At 38.1% G+C, this 27258-nt stretch overlaps 1 protein-coding gene and 1 long non-coding RNA gene across 21 annotated transcripts in view; one reads left to right on the top strand and one right to left on the bottom strand.

Annotated features, from left to right (window-relative positions):
- The window catches only part of SUGCT (succinyl-CoA:glutarate-CoA transferase), a 903812-nt gene that overhangs the window by 730648 nt on the left and 145906 nt on the right, over window positions 1-27258 (bottom strand). The window lies entirely within an intron of this gene.
- LOC105375245 (uncharacterized) overlaps window positions 10959-27258 on the top strand; it is a 57295-nt gene continuing 40995 nt past the window's right edge. For both annotated transcript variants that reach the window (XR_927196.3, XR_927195.3), the window contains exons 1-2: window positions 10959-11046; window positions 13771-13827. This is a non-coding gene — a long non-coding RNA (uncharacterized LOC105375245). The remainder of the gene's footprint in view (window positions 11047-13770; window positions 13828-27258) is intronic.

The raw sequence follows: 27258 nt of genomic DNA, 5'->3' as shown, positions 1-27258 counted from the left end.
CCAGGCAAGTCCCCCTACATCAATGGAATGGACTAGAAGTCCTCTACTATCCCCTGTACTTACTTAGAAAACACACTGTTAACTAAATCAATAAATTCTCACATCCTTCTGCTCAACCTCACTCATTTACTAACTACAAAATATCTTATGGGGACAAAATGCTAAAAGAGAAATGAAGGGGCTAGCATTCGTAGAAAACACAACTTTCAAGAAGAAAAATTTGACCTCGCCTCAGAAAGAGATTTTGAGTTTCTGGCATCTCTCTTTTTAACCTAATACTGTTACTTTACATGTCAAACTCCCCTTGCAATTTAACTTGCTTCACTTTCTCCCTCACACCATAAGGTGAACAGTTTTTTCAGAATAACTAGGGTTGAGGAGGAAAAAAGACTCCAGAGTACATAAGGTATATTGTCCATGCCATGTTAAAAGGAGAATCAGTATTCTACCCATCTGCACCACGTTTATCAGTTTCTAGTATTTACGACTGATCAAAGCTAACACTTACTGCACACTGTTCTAAGCATTTTACATGAATTATCTCATTTACATGAATTACCTCATCATAATTTTATGGGAGAGGTACTATGATGACCCCATTTTAGAGATGAGAAAACTGAAGCACTGAGTAGTCTGATAATCTGCCCAAGGTTATATGCTTAGTAAGTGGACAAGCCAGGGTCTGAACTCACCTAGCCTGGTTTCTGGCATTCTACACTAGATACAGAATCAGACTACTCTCAAACTTTCTGAGTGGCCCTGAACCTGGAAAAGTTTAGTTGGAACTTACTACTTGGTAAAGAAAAAATAGTGATTGAGCATCCTTTCCAATTAGGTGAACCTCTACATATAAATTTGACCTTAATTATTACATAATACATAATGCAGTACTTATTCAAAGTTTTCTGCTTTGCTGCAAATATGGTTTGGCTTCACTGCAATGTAATTAGAAATAAACTTCAACCCATAAATATTTTACCTGTAAACATTGAAAACCAGTAGAGTTGTTAAATAGTTTTAAAATCTCTACTTTTATTTACTTACCAAAGAAAAAACACATAATGGAATTATTCTCTTCATAGTCATTTTTTAACTTAATGAAAGGAACATTCCTCTGAATTATCATTAACAGCAGTCAAATCATACTGATGTTTATTTTATTTATGAACTCAAAAGAAAAACAGATCCACATTATACTGAGAATAATTTTCCCAATCCATATGAATCAAAATCAGACATATGAGGAAACTGGATATCAAATGCCAGAGGTAAGACCAGACAGCAAAGAGAGACAGAATTTCAAAAGCATGTTGAGAATAATACATCAAACATATTTCTTACCATGAACCACTGACCCAGTCAATCACATGACTCAAAGAGTGGTTATGAACAACTAAACAAAATGTGATGAGTAAGTGGAAATGTAGAAAAACAACATTTAATGACAGAGTGTGCTTATTTATTCCTGTGATAGCAAGTCTTCTGTTTCAAGTGTCTTCTTCAAATACTTTTTTACATTTTAGATAACAGATATTCAAAATATTTCTGCTTGTAGAATAAAATATTACATTATTCTACAATTCTAGTTTTGAAAAGTTCTAAAAATGACATGAAACTTACTTGTGTTTATTACTTTCTTCATGCATTTAACAGATATTTAATAAGTAATTATTATATGCAAGGCAATCTGTTAAGTGTAGTGGGAGATCCCAAAATCAATAAAACAGTTTCATCTCTCAGAAAGGTTAATTTATTATTTATAATTCAGAATAGAAATGATCAATGCTACAAGAGACATTTTTAAAAAATCAAGAAGGGATAAAAAGTGGCATTCGAGCTAACATTTTTTGATAAAGAGAATTTAGTCATGCAAAAACAAAGGAAAGGGCCTTCCCAGTAGGAAAATATTGTGGTCACAGTCACATGTTTGGAAAAGTATTGAGAATAAAAACTGAGACAAGCTATTAAATTTAATGACCAGGAGATCACAGATGATTCTTAAAATGCAGTGTCAACAAAGCAGCAAGGACAAAATCCAGATTAACGGGGGCAAAGGAATGAATGAAAACAATGTGAGAGCCAAAGGGGTATCTCAGAGCTTGTGTAAAAAGGAGAGGAGAGATACCAGACCATAGCTTAAGCTGGTGAGCAGAAAGAATAAAGGTTTTCTTTTTGAGGATGTAAAAAAATAAAATAAAATAACTGGCCAGGCACAGTGGCTCATGCCTATAATCCCATCACTTTGGGAGGCCAAGACAGGAGGACTGCTTGAACTCACGAGTTCAAGATCAGCCTGGGCAATATAGTAAGACCTCTTCTCAGCTAAGAATAAAAAAAAAATTAACTGGGCGTGGTGGTGTGCACCTGTAGAACTAGCTACTTAGGAGACTGAGAAGGGAGGATTGTTTGAGCCTAGAATATTGAGGCTGCAGAGAACTATGATCATGCCACTGCACTCCAGCCTAGGACACAGAGCAAGACCCTGTCACAAAAAAATAAAAATAAAAAAATAACTGGAGTTCATCTACATATACAAGAGAAAAGAATAATTGAAGATGTGGAGTTCTAAGCAAGATGGAGACAATGAGAAAAAAAGTAGAAGAGGAGGGATTATGGTTTGAAATGTCATCTCTCAGTCAACTCTTCCCTCATTCACTCAGATGGGTCATTTTGTCTTCTGGATCTCTGTCTGCTAGAATGCAAGCTTCAGGAAGCAAAGGATTTGTCTGATTTGTTTCCTGCTCTCTCTCCACAACAGGAACACTCCCAAGACACACTGTAGGCAATCAGTAACTATTAGTTAAACTCAAAAATGAATGAATAACACTGCTTTCCTCTAATTTGAAGAATTTAAAGAAGAAATGCTCAAGAGAAAAGGAGGAAAGTTAGGTACAATTCCCACAGAAAGCTACAATAGTAGAAAAGCATCTCCACAGAATGAGAAGGTCAGGCTGAAATTTGCCTTGTTCAGTGGATCTGCCCACTGAAGTGACAAAGCCCAAGCCCACTTGTTCCTTCCCCACATACCAGATGGATAAACATAGAGGCTGAGTTAGGAAACAATGTCAGGGACTGAGGCCCCGTATTCAGGGTGAAGAAAGGAGGAAAGGTGGCTTAAGGAACAATGAGGGAATCTTCAGGGAGCAAGACCCTGTGGGGCTAAAATTGAGTGCATGATGATGCTAAAGACCCACAGATGGGTAGAGAAAAGAAATAGCAAACCTTCCCTGAAGTCAGAATTGGCTTGGGGTTTTAATCATAATTATAAAGGGATGCTGGATTTTGTCAAATGCTTTTTCTGTGTCTATTGAGACAATCATGTGGTTTTTGTTTTTAATTCTGTTTATGTGGTGTACTACTCAGCCATAAAAAGGAATGAAATAATGACATTAACAGCAACCTGGATGATTATTATTATTATTATTATTATTATTATTATTATTATTATTCTAAGTGAAGTAACTCAGGAATGGAAAACCAAATATCCAATGTTCTCACTCATATGTGGGAGTTAAGCTATGAGGATGCAAAGACATAAGAATGATATGCTGGACTTTGGGGACTTGCAGGAAAGGGTGGGGGGTGGTGAGGGATAAAATATTACATGTTGGTACAGTGTACACTGCTCAGGTGATGGGTGCACCAAAATCTCAGAAATCACTACTAAAGAACTTATTCAAATAACCAAACACACCTGTTCCCCCAAAACCTAGTGAAATAAAAAAATAAAAAATTTAAATATGAAAAAATTTAAATTTAAATTAAAAAAAAAAGAATTGGCCCAGGAATAGGGAGTGGGGTGAGTCTGTTGTAAATGGGGTGACCAATGGGTTCCATGAGATAGCACTAGGCATATCAAAAGCAAACAAGTTGAATAAAGGCTACTTCCTTCTAACTTCTACAGATTTCTTTCATTATTTCGTGGAGCCCAAGGGGCTGTTCCTTCCATAGGAGTGATTCATTCTGGGAAGGGCTTCACATCCTTTGTCTGGTTATTCTAGGACCCTCTCCAATTCTCTATTTGTCACATTTTCCTCTAGTTCTGATTACCATTGCCTTTATGTCCTGGTGCTCTTTTGTTACTGTTTCTTCAACATCATTCTTTTTTTTTTTTTTTTTTGAGATGGAGTCTCACTCTGTTGCCCAAGCTAGAGTGCAATGGCACGATCTCAGCTTACTGCAACCTCCACCTCCCGAGTTCAATTAGCCGATTTCTGGCTAATTTTTTTATTTTTAGTAGAGACGGGGTTTTGCCATGTTGGCCAGGCTGGTCTCACACTCCTGACCTCAAGTGATCCACCCACGTCAGCCTCCCATAGTGCTAGGATTACAGGCATGAGCCAACACCATTCAATAATGTATTATCCCCTCCAAAACGGGGAGAGAGGTGGCACAAAACGATGGAAGTATGGAATATAATGCATGTAGGCATTCCTTAGACTGTTCCCCTTTCTCACAAGGCAATAAGCTAACTTGCACAGGTCTTTGTAAGGTATGGACAGTGTGAAAGAGAAGAAATGGGCCAGGTGCGGTGGCTGACGCCTGTAATCCCATCTACTCAGGAGGCTGAGGCAGGAGGATCCCTTGAACCTGGGAGGCAAAGGTTGCAGTGAGTCAAGATCGCGCCACTGTACTCCAGCCTGGGCAACAGAGCAAGACTCCGTCTCAAAAAAAAAAGAGAAGAAATGGCAAATCTGAGAGACATTTAAAGGATGGAATCACAAGTCCTGGGAACAGACTGTAGGGAATAAACAAGAAGTTACAAAGAGAGTTCCAATGTTTTTAGCCCAGAACTTACAAGAAATGTGAATTTACTTTATAGAAACAGCTTTCTTGGCCGGGCGAGGTGGCTCACGCCTGCAATCCTAGCACTTTGGGAGGCCGAGGCAGGCGGATCACCTGAGGTCAGGAGTCCAAGACCAGCCTGGTCAACATGATGAAACCCCATCTCTACTAAAAACACAAAAATTAGCCAGGCGAGGTGGCAGGCGCCTGTAATCCCAGCTACTCGGGAGGCTGAGACAGGAGAATCACTTGAACTCGGGAGGCGGAGGTTGCAGTGAGCCGAGACTGCACCACTGCACTCCAGCCTGGGTGACAGGGCAAGACTCCATCTCAAAAAAAAGAAAAAGAAAAAAAATGGCTTTCTTGGTGAAGAAATATGCTAGAATAGAGTGGGATTGTTTGTTTGGGGAAGGGGTATTTATTTAAAGGTGTCGATAGGATGTCCAGGTGGAGATGCCTATGAGTGGTTGCCATCCAGCCACTGGAGCCCTGAATAATGATGAGACACAGTCATGAATACTTAGTGGTTATCTACACTGAGGCTTGGGGTAGGCAGGATTCTAAGATGGCCACTAAGAGTCCCATCCTCTGGCATATACATCCTGTACAATGCAACGTCACTCTCATAATTATGTCTGTAATCAGTTAATAATGAATTCGTCAAAAAAGAGATTATCTTGAGTGGGCCTGGTCTAACTTTTAAAGGAAGGTGAAGCTCAGAGAGTCATGCTCCTGTTGGCCTTGAAACCCACAACCTCCATGAGCTCTAGAAACTGTATTCTGCCAACAATCTAAATGAGCTTGGAAAAGACCTCTGAGGTCCTGCTGAGAAATTCAGTCCAGCAGATACCTGAATGGCAGCCTTTTAAGACCTGAGCAGAGACTCCATCTAAGCCATTACCAGACAACAGACATACAGAAACTATAAAATCATAGTTTGTGTTGTTGGAAGGCACCTTTCATATTGCATTTCTGATAATCTGTTATGCAGCAACAGAAAACTAACACAAGGGTAAAGCCACTGAAGTGGATAACTAGACTGGATAATTGGAGGGAAAGCAGAGGACAAGGGCAGACCACTGGAGTCAACCAAGGAGGGGACAAAAAAAACAGGTGGGAAGAATAACAGGTGGTGTGATGTCTAAAGGCCAAAGGAGGAGAGTGTTAGAAGGAAGAGTGTTGAATGTATATCAAAGGCATTATCAGTAGCAGGATGGGAGTGTACAGTCTAATGCAAAGCATTAAGAAAATAATTAGTGGGTAGGAAGCAGAAACCTCAAATACTAATAACATATGAAGTTTGGCACTGAAAGAGGAAAGAAATAGAACAACAGTGGAAATGCACAGCCACATCACCAAAAATGGAATCAAGTAAAGGTTATTCATGATGTTACCCTTTCCAGGGCTACACAGACTTTAATAAAAAATTAATAAAGATTCAAAAGCTTTCTCTACAACTAAAGGAATGAAGCTCTCTTAGTGGAATTTCAGGCATTTTCTTAGAACTATTAAGTTACAGAGCTACCCCACATATCACAAGCTCATGAACCAAGTCCCAGCATGAAATCAAAATAAATGAACTTAGACACTCTCCCTACATCTGATCATTCTGATCAACCAAAATCCCAGAATGTAATGGTGAATCTGACGATTACTTGTATGATCCACTGCACAGCTGGCACAGTCCTTCTCTGGCCATGTCACACTGCACTGCTCTCTTGAGCTTCTGTGGAATGGTTCCCAAAATAACAGGGGAGACTCACTAGACTACACAGTACATGATGAAGTTCTTTACTGATGACTCTTCTTAAAGTGATCTATCTCATGGGAGTTCCAGGGAAAGGTGCAAAGCCAGGTGTGGAATAGGACAAGAAATGCATGATTTCAGTGACCAAATGATCCAGCAGGTAAAATACTTGTTACGTGTTTACGCTTCAAGCAAAAATTCATGTAAAGAATACAGGTACATAATGCCAAGGATTGCTATATTAATTAAACAAACTCAGTGATTTAAAAAACAATCTGAAGAATAGCAAGTGAGAGAAAACACATTTTATATTCTCCTATATTAATGCTGTTTTATTTGAAAGTTTTAAAAATCTGGTATGCACATTGTTTTCATTCAGCAAATACTTATTACTTCATTCAGGCACCGTGCTAGGTGCTGAGACAGAATGGTGAAAAGAGATGAATTTTCTGTCCTCATGGAAAAACAGTCTAGTGTAAAAGACACACACTAAACACTATAAAACCCAGTGACTTAGAGGGACGATATGCTGAGATTATAATAATAATACCCAGTGACATGAGGAGTTGAGGGATACAGTCTGATTGAAAACAGGCCTAGAAGACTTACTTCAAACATGAGTTTGCATGACAACTGTGTTATTTTCACACCTCCTTGCCTCTTCCCCAAACTCATACAAAATGCTTTTGTTAAATATAACTGCCATTTTATGGCCATCACTTCACAGGAACAGGAACACTGAGAATATCCCACTGCACACACAAACACCTGGATAATTGTTCCTCTGTTTACTAATGCATCTCACCAGAGAATAAAATCAAGGAAACTGATTTCAGAAATTCACTAACTTACATTACAGTCAGAACTCCTCATCAACAGACCACATGGCACAAACTGGATGGCTTTTAAGATCTAAGCTGCAAGCTATAGACATGTTTGGGCTTTTCAGCATCACCCCGAAGAGACCTCAAAGGTACACTAACACAATCAGCCTTTGATGACATACTATATCATATATCCATATACTCATATGTCCCTAATTCAGCACATTTGCATATGATCTGCATTCTAACATACCCACAACTATATTTTATATGTGAGAAGACTGTAATATGATAAAACCCTTAAGGAGGCACTCTGCTTTGTTGTGTCAATTCTTATATTCATCCAACAATGATCGTTATCTTAGCCATATCTTCCATTCACCCTTTAACCACAATTGGAGGGCTAGACAGTTCTGAAGAGGGCAGAATTTTTTAATCTTTTTTACATCCTCAGCAGTCTGGCGAAAAGGAATTTGGACCCTGATTCAACAGGCCTGAGACCCAGTCTCAGCTCAGCCCTCATTACACTCCCTTGTACAGCAAAGTCCTGTATCTTGAGTCAAGTTTACAAAATAGCACTAACCTCCTCACAGCCTTGTCTGTATGACTTCAGGGTAACATCGTAAAAAGTGCTTCAGAAATACTCAAAAGTAAGAAGAATTGTAAAACATAATTTTAAAAATATCATCCAAGGGAATACACACAAAACAGCTTACTTAGGGTTTTGCTATACAACAATTTTATAATTTCAATAAATTAGACTGACATTTTCCATCTTTCACTAACACAAATAATGCATCCAGGAAAAACAACCCCCCTAGACGGCAAGCCAGGTTTAGTCAGTTTTAGACATTCCAAGTATACTGGCTGTTCTAATTAATCAAAGAATAATTTCTGAACTGCTAATTTTTACCTTATACCAATATTAAACATACATTAAAACACTGTTGATAGCAATACATTTTCATGTGTAAAAAAATAAAAATAAAAAAATTGTTGATTCCAAAAAATACCAGTGAAGCCATTGATTAGACATCTGCAGTTTGACTATAAAATAGCAAAATTGATTTCTAATAAGATTTCCAAGAAGTATTATCAGTTTACTGTCAGAGATTATAAATTGGCAACTGATAAGCATGATTTAGTTCATTAATTTTTTTTTTTGGCCTACATAGTATTTTAAAACCCAAGAGATTTTATATAAAAAAATCAGTTTTCTTCAAAAATTGCAAACCTGGCTACACTGGGGCTAGTGGTGTGCTGCAGCTAGCTTGTACTTGCTCATTGAGCCAATTATTAGTATCTCTTCTAAACATGTGCAGTGACAATCATAGTAGAGGCTTGAAATTAGCTATGTGGGAGTGTTTACACCATGAGAATTGGCAAATGCAACCTGTGACAGTTTGTTGTTGTTGTTTTTCTTGTTTTAATGAGCCAGTTGTTAAACATTTACCAGCACACCACTGCACTGGGATCACAATGTCACGTGGTAGCACATGCTGGAGAGAGTAGTGACTCTCTCCTCAGACAGGATGTGGGCTCTTTAGTCCATATCCATCACCATTTCCTATTGTTTTTCGTCTGACTCAGTTCACTTATTTTAATTACCCGTCTGGCATAGTTAAGCATTTGACTTTGCAACTCCTGGTTTACGGTCAAAACACACATTCAAAACACACTCTTAGATGATAACATGGGGAAAAAAATCAAGTCACTGTGCTTGTTTGAAAGTTTAAAAAATAAAAGGCTTAAATTGAACACTGTTGGACAAATTGAAATACCATCTTTAGAAGCCTTTTTGTTCCTTTTCAAACCATTGTTATTCAAGCACAAAAGAAGACTGTAACATACATTTCAAGTCACAAAGTAAGAAGTCAGCAAAAAACAAATTTTTTAAAAGAGAAGATAATTATTTAATCATATATTTTTAAGAAACAAACTATAAAACCTGGAACTTTTTATTTCTAGTGAAAAAGCCATCATTGCTTCTCAAAAGCAGGTTTTCTTCATTTGTCTAAAAACCTTATACAGATATTTGACGGAACTCTTGAAAACCTGGACCCAAAAAAAAAAAAAATTCCTTCACAAGAGAAACCTCTGATTAAATGAGTATTTCAGTAAGAATGTCTGAACATGAAGCCAGACATGATAGTGGTCAGGAAAATTCTCTTTCAAGTCATCTTAAGTGGATTCCTACACAAATGACTGCAGTGTATCCTGTTCTAATATATAGGTCTGTGTTTCCCACGACAATAATGATTGCACATATCAGTCTCTTCCCCTGGGGCATGAACTTCATAGTCCTACCCACTAAAAGAAAATTATTGTTCAAAAACCACTTCCAAGGTCCTAAGAACAAATACAGATGACAAAATTGAGGAAAGAACAAAGACCAATGGAAGTTCCTAAAACAGTTCCCATCAATGGGTTTTATATTTCTTGACACTGTCCTAACAGTAATCACTTCCACCATTAAAACTATGCAATATGAGCAACTATAAGAAGTCTCTATCCCAATGCACCACTTTAAAAAATCTGTCTTCCTTCCTCTTCCCCTCACTAACCTCACTTTCAGCCTCAGGCCTACTTTAGCATGGTGACTGATCTTTTTTTTTTTTTTAAATCAAGATACTCAAAAATAACAAGTATTTGGAATTCTATCCTAGTCCCCAAATTATAAGGTCAACATTACTTAGCCATGCATGGCTTGTAGCTAACTTCAAGAAAAAAAGGTTAAGGAAACACAAAGGAGGCAAGGAAGGGAGGGAGGATGGTAAGGGAAGGAAGGGAAAGGAAAGGAAGGACATGAACATGTTTTGAGGTTACATGAGACAAAAAAAAAGGCTATGTTTAAAAAACAGAAGGAGGAAAACAATATCATGTGTCTTCTTAGATTCTTAATATAAATTTTGGGCAGGGACAAAATTCAAATACCATTGTTATGAATCATCTTGAAAAAAATTTCGTCTCTGAGTTTTGACATCCTTCATGTATATAGGACATGCTTGAGAATACATTAGAAAGTTCAGGAAATGATGTAGTTTAGAGTCAAGAGCAGTTTGTGGATAGAACCCAAAACAAAACAAGACCCAAAAAAAGAGAATAACAGTTTTATCTGTAGTGGGTAATATGTGCTGGCTGTACTAATTCATGTTGAGCTTTGTTTCAGTGTACTGATTTTCACCAATTTAATGCTAAAGGTCTGGACGTCAGTTACCTCAAGATCTCTTTTAGCGAAAGAGGTCAATGTGCACTGGAGTACTTTTCCTCAAAATGATCAGATTTGCATCACAGCTCACTACCAAAGAGGTCTTTCCTGAACATTCATGTTATCTCAGTTCTCTGCCTACTCTACGAATCAGCCAGAATCCATAAGCTTCACATGGATGTTTACAATAAGAAATACGCCATCAGCATGTTTCATTTAATTTTGGTTGAAGTATTTTAACATGTACATTACCCTAATTGAAATTAAAAAAAAAAAGTAGTAGCAAAGTAAGACTCTTACTTCATAATGGAAGACATCATAATTGCAAGACTATCAAAAAGTAAACGCTTTAGGTAAAAATCAGGCTTTGCTGCAACCAATGGGCTCCTAGGGCAGGACATGCATGGCTAAGGAATGTAGTAATAAGGTGAACATGGACAGAAGAGGGACTGAAGGAAAGAGAAGAAAAAGGAGAAACTAAGGTAGTGGTAATAATAATATAGTCATAAAGCTAACATTTATTTGGTGCTTACTATGTAATGGGCACTGCCATAAGAACTTAACAAAAATTAATTCATTTTAATCCTCAGCAATCCTTGGAGGCAAACACTATTATTATTCCCATTTAGTGAATGAGGAAACTAAAGCATAGAGCATTTCATGACTTGCTTGAGGGTCATAGCTACTTAGCAGTATATTGAGGATTTAAATCAATGTAGTTTGGCTCCAGAGTCCATGCTCCTAACCACTACTCTAGAGGCCTATATAGGATGGTTACCAAATAGAAAGAAGTGGGTTCAACAATAAGCTCGAAATCAATTACACACACACAAACTCACACACACACGAAAGAGAGACTAAGGTTTTCCTAACCACTACCCTAGAGGCCTATACAGGAAGGTTACCAAATGGAGAGAGAAGTTAATTCAACAATAAGCTTAAAATTAATTACACACACACACACACACACACACACACACACACACACACACGAGTCACTCACTCTGTCTCTCTCCCTTCCCCCTCTCTCTGAGATTTTGCCTTATAAGGGAAAAAAAAATTGCATTGCATTGAAATTAAAATATTCTCCTACTAATAACTACAATATAAAATGTAATATGTACTTGACAACAAGTAACACGTGCTATTACAAACATTAGAAAAGAACACAAAAAGCCTTCTCCAGAAACATGGGTACACAACATTTTGACCACCAAAGAGATCCCATTTGTAGGGCAGCCCAAGAGCACACAGTGCCATCCAGCGATAAAGTAGGTGAAGCACGTGTTCATCCTCTTCTGCAAGGGAATCGAATATTTAACTTTAGTCTTTTCAATAAGCAATTCAGAATTTTCACATAAAAAAAGGAAACTAGCATAAGTAATAACCTATCTTTTATTTTCCTATGACTTGCACAAAATTACCTTACATTTAAATTCTCCACTATTTCTTAATTAAGTATATAAATTCAGACAAGACCAACCCAAACTACTAACTTAAGGCATCCAAACTATTAACAGCATCTCAGTCGCCCAACAAGGATATATTATCATCATATAGGGTACTTTTGTGCTGCCTAACATGACTTTTCAATTAGTGTGTTTTGCAGAGTTCAGAAACAGTCACTGATTAAGGCTGAAAGCACCTGCCCTACACATGGCAAAGTAAATCATGACTAGTTCTGCCATCAGCAGCACCTACACTACAGAACCTCCAAAAAGAAACGGATGCAGCAATTAAGCATATGGTAGAGGAGAGATAAGGGGGTGTAAGGAGAAGAACTGGGCAGGCGTTAAAAAATGCAAAATTTATCTATGCACCTAAATAGGCAATTATTTTTACAAAATTCTCATACAGACAATGTTTACATTATGACATAACTAAATTCTAAAGTTTAGTTTTCATCCGAAGCCACAACATTATGGCCAATTATACCACTAAAAGAAAATATTTATTTATGTCCCTGGAAGAAATTCAAGAAACATTCATTAGTGATTTTTTCTTTTATTTGTTTGTTTGTTTATTTTTGGAGACAGAGTCTTCCTTTATCACCCAGGCTGGAGTGCAGTGGCACAATCTCAGGTCACTACAAACTCCATCTCCCAGGTTCAAGTGATTCGCCTGCCTCAGCTACCCCAGTAGCTAGGATTACAGGCGTGCGCCACCATGCCCAGCTAATTTTTGTATTTTTAGTAGAGATGGGGTTTCACCATGCTGGTCAGGCTGGTCTCGAACTCCTGACCTCAGGTGATCCGCCTGCCTTGACCTCCCAAAGTGTTGTGATTACAGGCGTGAGCCACCACACCTACCCTGTGAGTTCTTTAAATGTAATTTTTTTTCTAAAACACTTACCAAACTTTTCATAGTAGTTATCACTAAGCAGTGGAAATGCAAAAAAAAAATTTACTTATTAAATTATACATTTGTATCATTTTGGCATTTTTTTCTAATATGAATTTCTTTTGTTAAAGATGTGAAAAAGTACTATGCTCCATACTTTTACAGTCATAATGAAGAAACACTGAAAGATAAGACTTTGTCTCTATTTTCTGTATATCTGTTACACATTTCAATCATTTGTGTAAATGATTTGCACGTACACTAATAAAACACAGTTTCTGGTTAATTTAACAATGCCCTTCACCACAGAACTACTTCAGAATCTAAGCTTTTTGCGCAGCATATTTTCCAACTGACAGCTAAGCTAGCTTTTAAATTTTCATTTTTCAAAGTGCCGAGATTAATAATGCATCAACAGGGCCAGGCACAGTGGCTCACACCTGTAATCCCAGCACTTTGGGAGGCTGAGGTGTGCGGACCACCTGAGGTCAGGAGGCCGAGACCAGCCTGACCAACATGGTGAAACCCCATCTCTACTAAAAGTACAAAAACTAGCCGGGCGTGGTGGTGGGCACCTGTAATCCCAGCTACTTGGGAGGCAGAGGCAGGAGAATCACTTGAACCTGAGAAGCGGAGGTTGCAGTGAGCCGAGATCACAATGCCACTGCACTCCAGCCTGGGTGGCAGAGTGAAACTCCGTCTCAAATCATCATCATCTTCATCATCATAACGCATCTATGGGAAGTGAATATGATTTAAAAGACTGGTATGTAAACTCTGGAACCAATATGTGACCAGCGGAATCTAACTTGAGGTTCATGTCTATGGCCATTGGAATGTCCCTCTCTGCTGCTGCTTCCTTTCAGGACAAGGGCTTCAGATGAAGAGCTCCTAAACACTCCTAAAGACTACCAGTTACACAGGTAAGCTGCTGTTATTCACTTAGTCCATATCTTCGTTGCCTCAGTTGTGTTCATTGTATCCACACAGTTATCAAGCCTTAAAGTTCTGTCTAGGCCAGACGCGGTAGCTCAAGCCTGTAATCCCAGCACTTTGGGAGGCTGAGGCAGGCGGATCACCTGAGGTCAGGAGTAGGCAAGACCAGCCTGGCCAGCATGGTGAAACCCCGTCTCTACTAAAAATACAAAAAATAGTGGGGCGCCATAGTGCGTGCCTGTAATCCCAGCTACTAGGGAGGCTGAGGCAGGTGAATCGCTTGAATCTGGGAGGCGGAGGTTGCAGTGAACCAAGATTGTGCCACTGCACTCCAGTCTGAGCAACAGAGCGAGACTCCAACTCAAAAAAACAAAAAAAAAAGCTCTTTCTAAATCACTGTATGTTCTTTTAGTCCCCTGTCCTGAGGTAGCCTGTAGAGCAAAGACATTAAGTACAGAACTATCCCCCAGACAAGCCAAGAAAGTTGCTACAATTACAACTTCAGTTTTGATTAAAAATTATTTGGGGAAAGTCAATGCCATTTAATTTTAGGAGTATCAAATGATAGTATTAGTGGAACCATCCAAGAAGCCTCTCTACATAAGAGACACACCTTGCAGGTTTACCCTAAAACACACTTTCTTTTTAAATTGTAACCCCTGGGTCTACTGCATCAGAGTTATCTGGGGTGCTACTCCAAAATGCAGATTCCTGAATCCTGCCCCAGACTGAGTGGATCTCAATGCTTGCGTGTGAGGCCCAGGAATCAGTTTTTCAAAAAGCTCACTGGTACTTTTATACATCATAAGTTCATGAATTATTCTGTGGGACAGCAGTTTTCAAACTTTGCTGCCCATCAGAATCATCCGGAGAGATTTTTAAAACCTCAGTACACAGACCATGCCCTATACCAGTTAAATTAGAATCTCTGGGGATGGGAAAGAGACAGCAGAAATTCTGAAAACTCCACAGGTGATTCCAATGGGCAGCCAACGTTGAGCACTGGTGTTGTGAAGGACCAAGGTACAGCTTAGAGACCAAGTTGAGTCCTCCTGAGCGTCAAAGCACACTCAACTTGAGACTTTTAACAGTAGCAACAACAACAAAATGGTTAATACTCACTTTTTCATAGTGACAATAAGACCTAACAAGCTGCCATAAAAATCTTAAGTATGGTATAAACACAGAAAAATTCTCATTACCAAATATGACTACATACAATTAAAAAAAAAGTTTTCAACACTTTTAAACAAACAAAAATGCAAATCATTAATTCCAGCCTCCATTGACAGAAAACTTATGCTCTAAATACAGCTCTGAACCTGTCTTCTAGATCGGTTTCATTAAATAATATGATGAAGTGACCAATATGGTTTTTTTCATGACGTTACATACCAATCTGCAACAGCTTGGGGATAGTTAGAAAATACAGAAGTAGAATGTGTATCAGAATAAACTAAATTTCAGATTCATTGAGCTGATATCTCAAGTCAAGAGCTTCTGTAGTTAAAAGACTGAAAGATGGATGCACCTGATTTTCCCTCAGGGGCTTACAAGATAAGATAGTGCATTATTAAACCTGACAAAACATATCTGACTATACCGCACCAGAAACTACAGTCACAGAATTTTAAAAGTATGTCTTTACTTAATGAAGTACAAATTTCAAACTCAAACTGGGCCTACAGACTTAGCAGAAGGCAAAAGGAGAATGTACTCATTTTACTATTGTGACCTGGCTTGAGTTCAATAGAATCAAAGATATAAAAGAATTACAGAGCTGTCTGGTGGAAAGGAAATCATCATTTCATAAAGGACTCAATGACTTACATGATTTCAAATCATGCTTTAAGTGTCTGCCGCTTCCTTTAAAGAAAACCTCAAAATGCATCTGAATTGTCGTCTATCCTGTAAGTGTGGTTCAGTTTCAGGAAGAACTGATTGAACTGAAAATAACTATCCCACCAAGAAGACAGTGTTTCTGGAACTTTAAAAAATACAGACTCTAGAGCAAGGCTGAAATTTCTTACAATTGTCTCTCAACAATGTGTTAATCCCCTGTCCCTATGAAAATCCACCTAAAATATAAAACTGCTGAAATTAAAAATAAGTACAACTCCACCAGCAATGTAAAGCTTGAATCAGAACTGATAAAGACCTTCATTTGTACAGAATGTATGTATATACATATGGTATATAAAACCAAAACTGTCTGTAGCCACCTCCACCTGCTAAGGTGGTGAATTGGTTTCCCGTTACTGCTGTAACAAATTGCCCCTAAACTTAGTGGCTTCTAACAAGACAAATTTATTATTTTATAATCCTGGAGGTCAGAAGTCTGAAATCACTCCGCATGGGCTAATGTCAAGGTGTCGACAAAGCTGGTTCCTTCTGGAGGCTCTCAAGTGAGAATCTGTTTCCTTGCCTCTTTAAGCTTCTAGAGGCTGAGTGCATATGTTAGATGTGTGACCTCATTCCTCAAATCACTTCAACTTCTTGCTACCATTATCACATCGCAAACTATAAGACTCCCCTCTAATCTGTGGTTTCACTTTCCACTTTCAACTGCAATCTAGAAATAGGTGAGCATAGTACATATTGTAATGATATACTGAGACAGACCACATTCACATAACTTTTATTACTATATATATATTTTTTTATTTTATTATTATTATACTTTAAGTTTTAGGGTACATGTGCACAATGTGCAGGTTTGTTACATATGTATACATGTGCCATGTTGGTGTGCTGCACCCATTAACTCGCCATTTAACATTAGGTATATCTCCTAATGCTATCCCTCCCCCCTCCCCCCACCCCACAACAGTCCCCAGAGTGTGATGTTCCCCTTCCTGTGTCCATGTGTTCTCATTGTTCAATTCCCACCTATGAGTGAGAACATGTGGTGTCTGGTTTTTTGTCCTTGCAATAGTTTGCTGAGAATGATGGTTTCCAGTTTCATCCATGTCCCTGCAAAGGACATGAACTCATCATTTTTTATGGCTGCATAGTATTCCATGGTGTATATGTGCCACATTTTCTTAATCCAGTCTATCACTGATGGACATTTGGGTTGGTTCCAAGTCTTTGCTATTGTGAATAGTGCCGCAATAAACACACGTGTGCATGTGTCTTTATAGCAGCATGATTTATAATCCTTTGGGTATATACCCAGTAATGGGATGGCTGAGTCAAATGGTATTTCTAGTTCGAGATCCCTGAGGAATCACCACACTGACTTCCACAATGGTTGAACTAGTTTACAGTCCCACCAACAGTGTAAAAGTGTTCCTATTTCTCCATATCCTCTCCAGCACTTGTTGTTTCCTGACTTTTAATGATCGCCATTCTAACTGGTGGGAGGTGGTATCTCATTGTGGTTTTGATTTGCATTTCTCTGATGGCCAGTAATGACAAGCATTTTTTCATGTGTTTTTTGGCTGCGTAAATGTCTTCTTTTGAGAAGTGTCTGTTCATATCCTTCACCCACTTTTTGATGGGATTGTCTGTTTTTTTCTTGTAGATTTGTTTGAGTTCATTGTAGATTCTGGATATTAGCCCTTTGTCAGATGAGTAGGTTGAGAAAATTTTCTCCCATTTTGTAGGTTGCCTGTTCACTCTGATGGTAGTTTCTTTTGCTGTGCAGAAGCTCTTTAGTTTAATTAGATCCCATTTGTCAATTTTGGCTTTTGTTGCCATTGCTTTTGGTGTTTTAGACATGTAGTCCTTGCCCATGCCTATGTCCTGAATAGTACTGCCTAGGTTTTCTTCTAGGGTTTTTATGGTTTTAGGTCTAACATGTAAGTCTTTAATCCATCTTGAATTAATTTTTGTATAAGGTGTAAGGAAGGGATCCAGTTTCAGCTTTCTACATATGGCTAGCCAGTTTTCCCAGCACCATTTATTAAATAGAGAATCCTTTCCCAAAGCTTGTTTTTCTCAGGTTTGTCAAAGATCAGATGGTTGTAGATATGTGGCATTATTTCTGAGGGCTCTGTTCTGTTCCATTGATCTCTATCTCTGTTTTGGTACCAGTAGCATGCTGTTTTGGTTACTGTAGCCTTGTAATATAGTTTGAAGTCAGGTAGCATGCTGCCTCCAGCTTTGTTCTTTTGGCTTAGGATTGACTTGGCGATGCGGGCTCTTTTTTGGTTCCATATGAACTTTAAAGTAGTTTTTTCCAATTCTGTGAAGAAAGTCATTGGTAGCTTGATGGGGATGGCATTGAATCTATAAATTACCTTGGGCAGTATGGCCATTTTCATGATATTGATTCTTCCTATCCATGAGCGTGGAATGTTCTTCCATTTGTTTGTATCCTCTTTTATTTCATTGAGCAGTGGTTTGTAGTTCTCCTTGAAGAGGTCTTTCGCATCCCTTGTAAGTTGGATTCCTAGGTATTTTATTCTCTTCGAAGCAATTGTGAATGGGAGTTCACTCATGATTTGGCTCTCTGTTTGTCTGTTATTGGTGTATAAGAATGCTTGTGATTTTTGTACATTGATTTTGTATCCTGAGACTTTGCTGAAGTAGCTTATCAGCTTAAGGAGATTTTGGGCTGAGACAATGGGGTTTTCTAGATATACAATCATGTCATCTGCAAACAGGGACAATTTGACTTCCTCTTTTCTTAATTGAATACCCTTTATTTCCTTCTCCTGCCTAATTGCCCTGGCCAGAACTTCCAACACTATGTTGAATAGGAGTGGTGGGAGAGGGCATCCCTGTCTTGTGCCAGTTTTCAAAGGGAATGCTTCCAGTTTTTGCCCATTCAGTATGATATTGGCTGTGGGTTTGTCATAGATAGCTCTTATTATTTTGAGATACGTCCCATCAATACCTAATTTGTTGAGAGATATTATAATATATTGTTACAATTGCTCTATTTTACCATTGTTCAAATTAGGCCATATTCAAATATTTTACCATATTGTTCAACTCCTATACATGCATACCTAGGAAAAAAACACAGTATTTATAGGGTTTGGTACTAACCATGGTTTCAAGCATCCACTGGGGATCTTAAAATGTATCCCCCACAGGTAAGGAGAGACTATTGTAATGATTCTGATACTCTCGCCTCTCTCTTACAAGAACCTTTTTTTTTTAGTTTCATTAGGCCCACATGGATAATCCAAGATAATCTCCCATCTCAAGATCTTTAATTTAATCACATCTATGATGTTCCCTTTACCATGTAAGGTGGCATATTCATAGGTTCTGGGGATAAGGACGTTGACATCTTTGGAGACTATTTTCAGCCTACCACAGGTGATAATACGGAAGGAGGAAAGAGACATAGTAGTGGTTAAACATTATTTTTCACTTTCAACATGAGTGGGGAAGGAAGAAAGAAAAGACTGAAATTTCAAAGCATCAGCCCATTCTTCTGTGTTCTAAGACTATTCTAGCCATTACAATAGCCACTGCCCACATGTGGCTATTGAGACTTTGATGGCAATATTCCAAATTAAGATGTGTTGTAAATGTACAACTACATATAAAACTTGAAGGACATCATATAAGAAAAAAGTAAAATAATTATTAATTTTATACAAATTTTACATTTTGAAAGGAAAATATTTTGGATATATTTGGTTGAATAAAATATATAATCAAAATTAATCTCATCTGTTCCTCTTTATTTTTTTAATGGGGCTAATAGGGAATTTTAAATTATAGGTGTCGGTAATAAGCACACTCAAAAAAGATGAAATAAAGCCTTCTGCCATAAAAGCAACAAGAACACTGGCAAAAATTCCCAAAATCAAATTTTTGAAAACTCTGGAAATTAACTAAAGCCTTGCAATAACTGATGAGTTTTTATCCAAGAAAAAAAAACCCTGAATTTTAATAAGACCGGCAAGCTTTGTGACATCTTAACTTGCTGTGTTAACATCCACTTCTACCAGGCTTGAGAACCAACAGCCTCATTAGTAACTAAATACTAGCAGCCTGGCAACCACAAAATTCAGCAGAATGAGTTTAAAGTTTAGTGGGGGAACAACCCAGGCTTTGTTTTCTTTTTTTTTTAAGCTTCAATGATGAATTCTACCAAACAATAAAAGAAAAATTAGTACTAATTCTTCACAAACTCTTCCAAAAGCAAGGAGAGGAGGGAATACTTTTCAACTCTTTCTATGAGGCAAATGTTACTCAGACACCAAAAACATCATAAGAAAACTACAGACCGTAAAGACCAATATCCCTTATGAATATAAACCTAAGAATCCTCAGCAACATACTAGCATACTGAGTACAGCAATACATACAAAGATCATACAACTTGACCAACTGAAATTTTTCCAAGGGTTGAAAAATTGGTTCAATATACAAAAATCAATGTCAATTGTTAATCAATCAATAACCAAATAACATATAAATGGGATAAGTGACACAAAACAAATCATCATGTCAATAGTCAGAGAAATAGCATTTACCAAAATTCAACACTCTTTCATGATAAAAACAGTCAGTAAACTAGGAACAGAGGGAACTTCCTCGACCTGTTAAAGAGTATTAAGGAAAGCCAGGCACTATGGCTCATGCTTGTAATCCCAGCACTTTGGGAGGCCAAGACAGGAGGATCACTTGAGCTCAGGAGTTTGAGACCAGCATGGGCAACATACTGAGACCCCATCTCTATTAAAATTCAAAAAAATTTAGCTGAGCATGATGGCATATGCGTGTAGTCCAAGCCACTCAGGGGGCTGAGGTGGGGGATTGCTTGAGACTGGGAGTTCAAGGCTGCAGTGAGCCATGATCATGCCACTGCATTCCAGCCTGCGTGACAGACAGAGACCTTGACTTTAAAAAAAAAAAAAAGAGTATCAAGGGAAAAAACACAGTTACATCATACATAATGGTGAAAGACTGAAATGTTTTGCCTTGAGATCAGGAACAAGAAAAGGATGCCTGCTCTTGCCACTTCCATTCAACATTGTACTGGATTTCTGTCCAGGGCAATTAGGCAAGAAAAAGAAATACAATGCATTCATATTGGAGAGGAGAAAAGTAAAACTATCTTATTTTACAGATGATGTAATCTCACACAGGAAAAATCCTACAGAATCCACTAAAATACTCTTAGAACTAAATAATGAGTCCAGCAAGGTTGTAAGATTAAAAAAAATGAATATATGATCACATTAAGTTCTATCGCTCAATGCTGATCACAATAATTCAACTTTAGAGAATATAAACAGCCTATGTAATGCAGCACCTATGCCAAGATCAGCAAACTTATAGCACCCTCCCAGTGTTGCACCTCAGCAGGCAAGGATAATAATCACGGCACTCTTTTCCAGAAGCCATGTCAACCTTCTCAATACCACCCTCCAGTCAGGGTCCAAGTGACAGAAAGATTAAAGCTGTCTGCAGTCTTGTGTTGCTTCTACTACCATTCCACCAAAACAACACTAGTAGTCAACTCCGGCTCTACAGGCTTGGCCCAATGTCCTGCCAAGAAAGTCCCTCTTTCCCAGCCAAACAAACAAACAAAAAACAGCCTGTTACTGATTCCTTACTTTGAATGGACCTACTAACTATAGGACATAGGGTTATTATTTGAAATGCCACACCCAATGTTTATTCTTCACGTGAGTATGAAGAAATGGCCAGATTTAGTACCAATCACAACTGCTAGTAGAAGGCTTTCAGTCAGTCACACCAAACAATAAATGCAAAGGCCTGAAGCAGAAGAAAGTTTCACATGTTCTACAATGTTTAACCACTACTATGTCTACCCTTTTCTCCTTCCTTATTACCACCTGTGGTAGGCTGAAAATAGTCTCCAAAGATGTCAATGTCCTTATCCCCAGAACCTATGAATATGCCACCTTACATGGTAAGGGGAACATCATAGATGTGATAACATTAAAGATCTTGAGATGGGAGATTATCCTGGATTATCCATGTGGGCCTAATGAAACTTAAAAAAAGGGGTTCTCCTAAGAGAGAGGCGAGAGTATCTTGACTTGGCTAGTCCTGTGGCGGGCTCCTTCTCATCCCCGCAATTTTAACTCCTTAAAGTAATCTTTCCTACCCAGCCTAACACAAGTGCCCCTGTTATCTTTAGCAAACCCTGTGTTTCCTAATGTACATTTATTACTAATTACTTGTTTGTTGTCTATATCTCCAACTACAATAAAAGTTCCATGAGGCAAGAAACTTGCTGGCTTATCTATCATTCATTGTATACTCTGGCACATAATAGATGAGGAGCAGGGATGGATGGTTGGATTCTGTTTGTACAGACGCAACTTAATTTCTTACTTCCTAAGTGAATATCAATATGTAAAAGGAATTAGATCAGAATAATACCCTTGGAGGTGAAAATATATTTAGCATATGGAATGGATCACAATAGAAAAGTAAATTAAAGCATTTTAGAAGAATTTCTCTGACAAGGGTTTAAACTAAAGCAGCTACCTTTTAACTATTATTCATCTAGAAAATGAAATCAACCATAATGTTAGATTGCTAAGCTCTCCAGGTAACTAAGGTCTGATTATCATTGCTGGTATATAATGACTCTAGCCGACAAACCAATTATAAACATTAAAAAAGTACTCACCGTTATACCTCATACCCATTCTGTGAAGAACTAAAGTAATTTTCCTAGAATTACACCTCGCCACAATGCTTGATGCAGGTGGTTTCTTTATCATTTAGCTACAATGATGGCATAATAGTTGGGACCAAAGAGACATGATCTAGTTTACAGACATGGTCCATAAATTAAGATGGGTAAATAGTCACCACTGATTGATTAGCCAATACACAAGGACACGATGGCAACATTTTATTCTAAATAAAATTCTTGCCCCCCCCCGAAAAAAGAAAAAAACAAGAATAAATAAATAAATAAATAAAATTTAAAATTCCCTGACCTGAGAAAGTACAAAGATAAAGGTGAAATTAATTAACTTAGTAATAAAAACAAATTGTTCTAACTCTGAAAGTAGACAATATATATGATTCCGATATCATTAAACACAGCTTTAGGAATAGTCCATTAAATTCATGATTCTACTAGGTTCTCCAAGGACAAAATCTAAACTCAGGAAATACATGTTAACATCAATAGATCTTTCCATTTCTATTTCTTTTATATCTTGAACTTAATTATTTTTCTATTGTTTAAGAACATTTGAAAGCTCCAAAGTGTTTTGAAGTATCTAATAAGAAAATTAAGTTACATCACCATAAAACATTTCTCCCCATTTTATTCTTTTTTCCTTTGGGATATTCTCCCACTAGTAATTATCAATTATCACAAGTTGAAGACCTGATTTTCCTCATTTGTAGTTCATATCATATAAAAATATGCAATGCCCATGAATATAACTAATGACTTCAGTTATACAGAACCAGAGCATGTTCCCAATTCACTTATATTTCGCTCAGTTTTCCTCAAGAAGACAACAAACCATATTTTGTATTGAAGTCAATTTGCATTTAACCTAACCAATAGCATTACTTCTTTGGAAGAAATCTGATTTTTCCTTTTTTGGTTTGTCTTTAACTTCCTAATTATTCATCTTAACAACAGATCCTTTTTTTTCCCAATGTTTTAAATTGATGATTTTTTATTTAATTGAAAATAAAATTATAAATGTTGATAGTACATATAATGTTTGATCTATGACTACACTGTGAGATGACTAAATCAAGCTAGTTAACATACACATCACCTCATTTTTTTTTTTTTTTTTTGGAAATGGAATCTTGCTCTGTCATCCAGGCTGGAGTGCAGTGGTGCAATCTCAGCTCACTGCAACTGCTGTCTCCCGGGTTCAAGCAATTCTCCTGCCTCAGCCTCCAGAGTAGCTGGGATTACAGGTGCCCGCCACCACACCTGGCTAATTTTTGTATTTTTAGTAGAGACGGGGTTTCACTAGGTTGGCCAGGCTGGTCTCGATCTCCTGACCTCAAGTGATCCATCTGCCTCAGCCTCCCAAAGCACTAGGATTACAGGCATAAGCCACCATGCCTGTCCTTCATCACCTCATATACTTGTGTTTTAATGATAAGAACATTTAAGATCTAATCTCTTACGAAATTTAAAGTACACATTAACTCTAGTCACCTTGCTGTACAATAGATCTCCAGAACTTATTCATCCCATCTAACTGAAACTTTGCCCCTTTGACCATCATCTTCCCCTGCCCCCACCTCCAACCCCCAGCCCCTGGCAACCACCATTCTAGTCTCTGCCTCTATGAGTTCAACTTTTTCAGATTCCACATATATACGAGACCATGTGATATTTTTCTTTCTATGCCTGACTTATATCACTTAGTCCTGCAGGTTCATATGTCTTGTTGCAAATGACAGGATTTTCTTCATTTTTAAGGCTAAACCAAATTACATTGCATATATATAACACATTTCTTTATCTATTCATCTGATTATTTACATTTAGATTGATTCCAATGCTGCAGCGAACATGAAAATGCATATATTTATTCAACATACTGATTTCCTCACCTTTGATATATTCTCAGAAGTGGGATTGTTAGATCATATGGTAGTTCTACTTTTAATTCTTTTGAGGAACCCCCATACTGTTTTCCATAACGGCTATACTAATTTACATTCCCACTAATAGTGTGTAAGGGTTCCTTTTTCTCCACACCCTCACCAACACTTGTTATTATCTCTCTTGCTGATAATAGCAATTCTAACAAGTTTGAGGTTGTGGTTTTAATTTGCATTTTCCCTGATGATTCATAGTGTTGGACATTTTCTCAGATACTTGTTGGCCACTTGTATGTCTTGTTTTAAGAAACGTCTGGCCAGGCGCGGTGGCTCATGCATGTAATCCTAGCATTTTGGGAGGCCAAGGTGGGTAGATCACCTGAGGTCAGGAGTTTAAGACCAGCCTGGTCAACATGGTGGAACCCCGTCGCTACCAAAAATACAAAAATTAGCTGGGCATGGTGGCCCGCAGCTGTAATCCTGGCTACTTTGGAGGCTGAGGCAGAAGAATGTCTTGAACCTGGGAGGCAGAGGTTGCAGTGAGCTGAGATGGCACCACTGCACACCAGCCTGGGTGACAGAGCAAGACTCCGTCTCAAAAAAAAAAAAAGAAAAAGAAAGAAATGTCTATTCAGGTCGTTTGCCCAAATTTTAATGGGGTGAACTGTTTGGGTTCCTTATATATTTTGGATAACAACCCCTTATCAGATATATGCTTTGCAAATATTTTCTCCCATTCTGTAAGTTGTCTCTTCACTCTGTTGATTGTTCCCTTTGCTGTGCAGAAACTGTTTAGTTTGATGCAATCTTGTTTGTCTAGTTTTGCTTTCATTGCCTGTGCTTTTTGGGCTCATATCCAAATATCTTCACCAAAAAAAAAAGTCAAGAAGCTATTTCCCTATGTTTTATTCTCATAGTCTAACAGTTTAGATCTTATGTTTCAGTCTCTAATCCATATTATTTATTTATTTACATTTAGAGATAGGGTCTCGCTCTGTCACCCAGGCTGGAGTTCAGTGGCATGCTCATAATTCTATGTAACCTCTAATTTCTGGGCTCAAGCAATTCTCCTACCTCAGCCTCACATGGTTGTGACAGGTGCTCACAACCATGCCCGGGTAATTTTTGTATTTTTTTGTATAGACAGGGTCTCATTATAGTGGCCATGCTGGTCCCAAACTCCTGGCCTCAAGTGATACTCCTGCATGCTGGGATTACAGGCCACTGCACTGGCCCCTTTAATCCATTTTAAGTTGATTTTTGTATATAGTGTAAGATAAGGGTCCAACCTCATTCTTCTGCATCTGAATATCCAGTTGGTTTTTTTGTTTGTTTGTTTGTTTGTTTGTTTTTGTTTTTGTTTTTTCAGTATTTTTGAGACAGCGTCTAGCTCTGTCACCCAGGCTAGAGTGCACTGGCGCAACCTCAGCTCACTGCAACCTCCACCTCCCGGGTTCAAGCGATTCTTGTGCCTCAGCCTCCCAAGTAGCTGAGACTACAGGTGCATGCCACCATGCCCGGCTAATTTTTTTATTTTTAGTAGAGATGGAGTTTCACTACATTGGCCAGGCTGGTCTCAAACTTCTGACCTCAAATGATTCGCCCACCTTAGCTTCCCAAAGTGCTGGGATTACATGCATGAGCCACTGCACCTGGCCAGTCAATTGATCTTTGACAAAGGTGCCACAATACACAATAGGGAAAGTACAGTCTCTCCAATAAATTGTATTGGTAAAACTGGATATTCAGGCTGGGTGCGGTGGCTCATGCCTGTAATCCCAGCACTCTTGAGGTCAGGAGTTCGAGAACAGCCTGGCCAGCATGGTGAAACCCTGTCTCTACTAAAAATACAAAAAGTAGCTGGGTGTGGTGGTTTGTGCCTATAATCCCAGCTACTTGGGAGGCTGAGGCAGGAGAGTCATTTGCACCTGGGAGGCAGAGGTTGCAGTGAGTGAGATTATGCTGCTAAACTGGACAGCCTGGGTGACAGATTGAGACCCTGTCTCCAAAAAAACATCTAAAACAAACAAACAAAAAATCAATTGCCTGTAACTGTGTGTATTTATTTCTGAGCTTTCTATGCTGCTCCTTTGGTCTACATGTCTGTCTTCATGCCAATGCCATGCTGTTTTGATTACAATAGTTTTGTATTATATTTTGAAATCAAGAAGTATAATGCCTCCAGCTTTGTGTTTTTCACCTGAGACTGCTTTCGATTCATTAACAGAATGAAGGATAAAAATTATATGATTGTCTCAGTGAATACAGAAAAAGCATTTAGCAATATTCAACATCTTCTCATGATAAAAACTTACAATAAATTAGGTATAGAAGGAATGTACCTCAACACAATAAAAGCTACATATTACAAGCCCACAGCTAGTATCATACCCAACTTTCTGCTATAACCTTCTATTTTTCGTTCTCCCTTAAAGGAAGAAAAAACAAAACTCCCTTTGAGGAGTTCTCTTAATTTCCTTAGTCATAGACTGTGCTGCCTCTCTACTCTTTCATCCTATACTCATGCTTCAACACAATCTCAGCTTTCAGCTCTACTTCCTTCCCAGATACACAACTGCTTTCCTCACAGATTTGTACATTCACGGGCTTTTCTCAAGGTAATTCTTCTAGAGCTGATCTATCAATTATGCACAGTAGGCACAATGCTTAAGACCCACAAGACTTTAGGGGTACACAAAAATGTTTCAATTTTCATTTCATTTCAAATCAGAAAAAAAGAGTGTAATAATAATAAATGCAGAATAATGAATTATCTTCATCTTTATACCAATGCAGTTATAGAATGTAATTTTTAATATTTTTATGAAGGAAAGAACCCACAAAGGCAAAAGTTCCCAGGGCCCACGGAAGTCATAATGGGCCCCTTCTTTTAAGTCAGCCTAGTCCCAGATCTCTCCCCACTCAAAACTCGT

The sequence above is a fragment of the Homo sapiens genome, chromosome 7 (assembly GCF_000001405.40).
Source record: "Homo sapiens chromosome 7, GRCh38.p14 Primary Assembly".
Classification (NCBI taxonomy): domain Eukaryota; kingdom Metazoa; phylum Chordata; class Mammalia; order Primates; family Hominidae; genus Homo; species Homo sapiens.
The sequence above is the reverse complement of the archived record's forward strand: the minus strand, read 5'-3'. Positions and strand labels throughout refer to the sequence as shown.